Genomic DNA, 5,345 nt, shown 5'->3' with positions numbered 1-5,345 from the left:
TGGGGGAACTCAGAGTCTACGTTTGATTCTCTGATTCTCTTCCCAGGCCTTTTCTCTACTCTAATCTGATGATAGAGACAAAGGGGCTAACTGTGAAGGCAACTGCCCTTCCCAGCACGTGCCAATAGAGGCAAAAGTTATGGGTTGCTCATCTATCCCCCCCGACCCTACCGTCTGCAGTGTGACCTTGGGCAAGTCACTTGCACTCTGTGGATGATCTCAAATGCCTCTTCCAGCTCTAAATATCTTTGATTTATGCTGAATGTCTTGCGGAGGTAATTGAATTTTCAGGGTGGTGTGTCATAACTCATTCCTAAAAGTTTGAAACAGAAGTTCATGGACAACATCTAAAGAATTGGGGTCTTGAGCAACTCTGTAAATTACCTGTTCCACAAAGCACATTAGTCGTACCCTTGAGATGACTGCTGGGGAAGAGATGTGGGTGGTAGCCTCACCTTGCTCTGCTTCCAGCTCAGGCTGTACATCCTCCTGCAGGAGGTCTCTCGCTTTCCCCCTTCCAAGGGCCACGGGGCCCTCCTCTGGATGGGAACACTCACCCTAACACTGCTCTTCCACCATTTCATTATGTAGTTGACCCTTGAACAACAATGGGGTTGGGAGGTTAGAGATGCTGACCCCCTGTGCAGTCAAAAATCTATGTGTAACTTTTGACTCCCCCAAAACTTAGCTACTAATAGCCTACTGTGGACCAGAAGGCTTATCAATAGCACAAACAGTTTATTAACCTGTATTTTGTGTGTCATGTATATTATATACTGTATTCTTAGAATAAAGTAAGCTAGAGAAAAGAAAATGTTCTTAAGAAAATCATAAGGAAGAGAAAATATATTTACTATCATTAAGAGAAAGTAGATCATCCTAAAGGTTTTCATCCTTGTCGTCTTCATGTTGAGCAGGCTGAGGAAGAGGAGGAAGAGAAGGGGTTGGTCTTGCTCTCTCAGGGGTGGCAGAAGTGAAGGAGGTATAGGAGGAGGAAGGGGAGGCAGGAGAAATGGGCACACTCTGTGTAACTTTTACTGAAGAAAATCTTCCTTGTCAGTGGACCTGTGCAATTCAAACCCATGTTGTTCAAGGGTCGACTATTCAGTTGGTATTAATCCCTCTTCTCAGGGCAGCATTCCCGTTGTGTATCCTTTGAGCCCAGTGCAGAATCTGGAACACCATATATACGTGGCAGATGTCTGTGAAACAGGTAAAGGAATAGCTAGCCTTGGCTAATTGTCTTGCCCCACTGTTTAAGACTTTGTTTCTTCGAGTGTTAGATTTTGGAGTTGAAGACGTCTAGAATCTTAGAAGCAAAGGACTATGTACTCAGGGAAATTCTAAGGATAAAGTCTTAGAAATCAAGTGGAGGCAGTGTGTGTGTTAAGTGTATGAGTGACAGACAGATGCCCTGGATTTGAATCCTGTTTGAATCTCGCTTCTTCCTGGTTAGTACGGCAGATGCTGTGAGGACTCCACTCAGGACCCTCTGGCTGTTCAGTGTGTCCTCTCCACTGCCAGAATCTGCATCTGCATGCTCAAGGGGTTCCCCACCCCAGGACTTTGCAAGGCTGCTTTGCCATATAAGGTGGAATGGAAGGTCCTTGGAATCAATACCTTCCCTCTTCATCCTCCCAGCATCCCCCAACCAACCATCCTTCTAATTAATATTGTGGAATTTCATGAAATTTCCACTTCTATTGGTGAAAGATGAGTGGCAATTTCATGTGGTTGAATCTCATGTAAACACTGTGGCTCCTTTGTCCTGTAGGTGGGCTTATTTGATGGTGGATGGTCTGCCCACTTCCCAGAGTTGTCCCATTGGATTGATCCAGTCGCCACTGTGTAGCCAGTTTACCAGCCACCTTCTATGGCCTGCAATTCCTTCCCTGTGTCACTTCTCCACTTCCCTGCTGATATTTCCTAGGATCATCTCCCAAGCCAACTATATGCACATTGATTTTTGTCTTAGAATTTGCTTTTGGGGGAACCCCAACCTAAGCCATTCACTTTCCCATTTGGAGAATGGCCTCATTGTCAAGATCAAAAGAGGAAATGCATATAAAGCTCTGAGCACACAGTGAGTACAAATCAGTATCAACTGCGACTGTTATCAAATACAACACATTCCTTTTAGAGACGTGATAACTGAAGCCCAGAGAGGGGAGAGGGCCTTCTCAGTGCTACTCGTGGGTTAGCTTGGGCTTCTCATTTCTGGCCAAGCACAGGAAGGTGGTGCCAAAAGGCAGAGCACTGGCGGGCTTCTTCCTCATCCTCCTAGAACAGCTGCATGTTAGGTTGTGATGGGGTAACTAGCTGCCACTCCCTCTGTATATACATGCAGCAGTGCACCCGAGTGTTTACACGTGCTTGTGCACAAATATTGACATCCAGTGGGGGTATTGGCACATAGGATGGTGGGGCTTCTTTGAGCAGTGACCAGAGAGAGCACTGGGCAGGGAGTCAGGAGTAAGGGTCCTGGTGCCATATTTGCTGCCAAGACTCTACCCAGCTGGGCTGCCATCATCCAAATGGCAGGATTCTTGGGTGGAAGCCTGGTCAAAATGTCAGCTCAAAACAGACGGAGGGATGAGACAGATGAACATTTTGGATCGACCTCTGATCCATCAGAAATCTGAATGCAAGGTTGTAATGGAAAGCTGTTTTGTTGCTGACCACTCTGGGGCTTTGGATCTAAGTGTGAGGCCTTTCTGAGGATCTATTCTCTCTCTGCTCTGCCACCCAGCCCTGGCGTAGGTGGGCCAGGTGGGGAAGGGGACGTGGTGACAGAGGCGACCTCCTATGCAACTCCTTTTAAAGGGGTCTGGCTTGCTCTATTGGACAGCATCCTGGGCAAATACAGGGTGATTCTGGTCCTGTCTGTGCCATGAACTTGGTGGCAGATTCCCTACCTGAAGCCAGTTTTTTCCTGTTTGGGTGAAAATTCTAATGTGCCCCTGACACCATTCTGCAACCATCTTGCAGGAAGGATGCCTCAAGCTGATAGGAACCCAATTTAACCTGTCAGCCCCTCTCCTACCTCCTCCTTATTGCTGGGTGGGGGCCAGAGCCAGGATCCAAATTCTGGGGGGTATGACAAGCTTGGGTCTTTTCTGGGCCAGTGCTGTTGTCTACGCAGCAACATTTCCCAAGTTTGTTCTAGAAAACACATTTTTGTGGGCTGTTATTAGGTATTCATTATTAAAAGTGTTCTGTGGTGATTAGGTTAGCATGCCAGTTACAAAAGAAATATTAACTCACATTTAGGTCAATTAAATTAAAACCAATGTCAATCTACTAAACATTTATTGTGTTAAGCCCTGTGCTAGGCATGTGACTGCAGAAAGGAGTGATTGATGTGCCCTGGAATGGAAAGAGCTTAGCAACTAGATGGGGAGACAAACTGATAATCCCATCATTACCATAACACCATAAATATACAAGGGCAAGAGCAAATGTGTATGTGGGTTATGGGGCTAATGTGGAGGAAGGAGTAACTCTGGATGAGGGCGGGAGAAAAGGTCTCATAAGTGTCAATTTTTTAAGGCTGGATATGTTTCCCTGGTGGCAAGATGACTCACAGGACTTTCCTTGTGAGTATGTCAAGCACTATGTGTAAGGCACAAAGGCTTGAAGCAGCATGGGGTGTTTGGAAAACTACATGACATTTGGCAGGTTTAAATGGATAGTTCCTGAGAGCAGGGGTGTATCTCCTGATAAGGCTGTGTAGCCTCATCCTTCTCCTATATTATTATGAAAAATAGAGATTGGAGTGTGTGGCTCCATTGACCTTTTGGAATCACTGTAATCAAATGTAGACAGCTGCCCAGATTGTCTGAGTCACCAAGGAGGAGATGCTACAGAAATGTGGCAGCCAGGAGATAGCCAGGCTGATAGAGGTGACAGGCAGAGGAGATGCTGACAGTGATGGGAACCCTTCACTTTGGGACTGTAATGATGGTTGGATTCACAAAGTGTGTCCTCTGCAGCAGTGCCTTGGAAACTTGAATGTACATGCTTTTCACACGGAGGAGGAGTACGATGGGGCGGTGCGGGGTGGGTGTTGGTGGGCCGGATCTTATTGAAACCTGAGGGTCTTCCTTTCTAACAAGCTCTCAAGTGTTGCTGATACTGCTGTTTCTGGGACTGTGCTTTCAGTACTGAAGCTCTAGAGTAGGGGTTGGCAAACCAAGGCCCTTGACCCACTACTTGTTTTTGTAAATAAAGTTTTATTGAAACACAGTCCATTAATTTATATATTATCTACAGCTGGTTTCACCCTACAATGGCAGATACCATATGCCATTGTAGCTGTGACAGATACCATATGGCTTGTAGAGCCCAAAATATTTACTATCTGGCCCTTTGCAGAAAAAGTTTGCTGACTTCTGCTCTAGATTCTTGAACATGGCTGTATTTTAGAATCACTGGGGAAGCTTTTAAAAATCCCAATGCACAGAATGCATTCAGACCACTTAAATCCTAATATCTGGAGGTGGGCTCCAGGCATCAGTACTTTTTTGGATCCCCAGGTGATTCTAATATGCAGCCAACACTAAGATGCATTGTTGGAGAGGCTGCCATGGTTCTGATTCATATTATGACTGCAATTCAGGAACAGGTCACTAAGAGGCAGTGGTGCTAGTTAGCAAACGCACAAGTGGCAAAACAGCGTTCCTTAGGCATGGATATCTGGGTAAGTCGACTCTAGCTATCAAGGTCTCCCAGCATTATGAGAACTTGCATTAAAACCATGTAATCACTCATGGGTGATCAGCTAATGTAAACCACTTATCCTATTGAGCTAAGGCAAGCCTGTGAATCTGTGGGCCTCAGAACTTTGTACAAAACTACCTGCTTTAGATCTTTTATAAGTAATTCTTTAATAGAAATGGCTTTTTACCTGGGCCTTATCTTTTCTAATCTTGGCTGGTGTCATCTGAATTTGGCCACTGGGCTCTTTGTCACGTCTTCCATTTTATATGTGGTATACACTGTGGCTTAAATGAAACTAATCATAAGCATAACCAGCATCCGTGTGGCTCTCAACAGCTTATAAAGGACTTCACATCTACTGTACCATTTGGATCCTTGCAAAGTCTTGTGTGTCAAGTTTAGTCCCATTTTATAGGTAAGGAAACAAGTTCATAGAGTGGAAGTGAGCTTTTCTAGAACTAGTGAGTGGTAGAGGTGGGACTCCTACCCATATCTTCTGTCTGACACCAGTGATGGCAATGGTTAATGTCCTCTCAATTTCAGAAACAGCGCCTTTTGGCCGACATTACAAAGCTGTCTCTCATTGCCCCTCGTTCCTCTCTCACTGCAGTCTGGTCTCCCCTGCC

Source organism: Homo sapiens, chromosome 16 (genome assembly GCF_000001405.40).
Source record: "Homo sapiens chromosome 16, GRCh38.p14 Primary Assembly".
NCBI lineage: Eukaryota > Metazoa > Chordata > Mammalia > Primates > Hominidae > Homo > Homo sapiens.
This window is presented reverse-complemented; position numbering follows the sequence as displayed.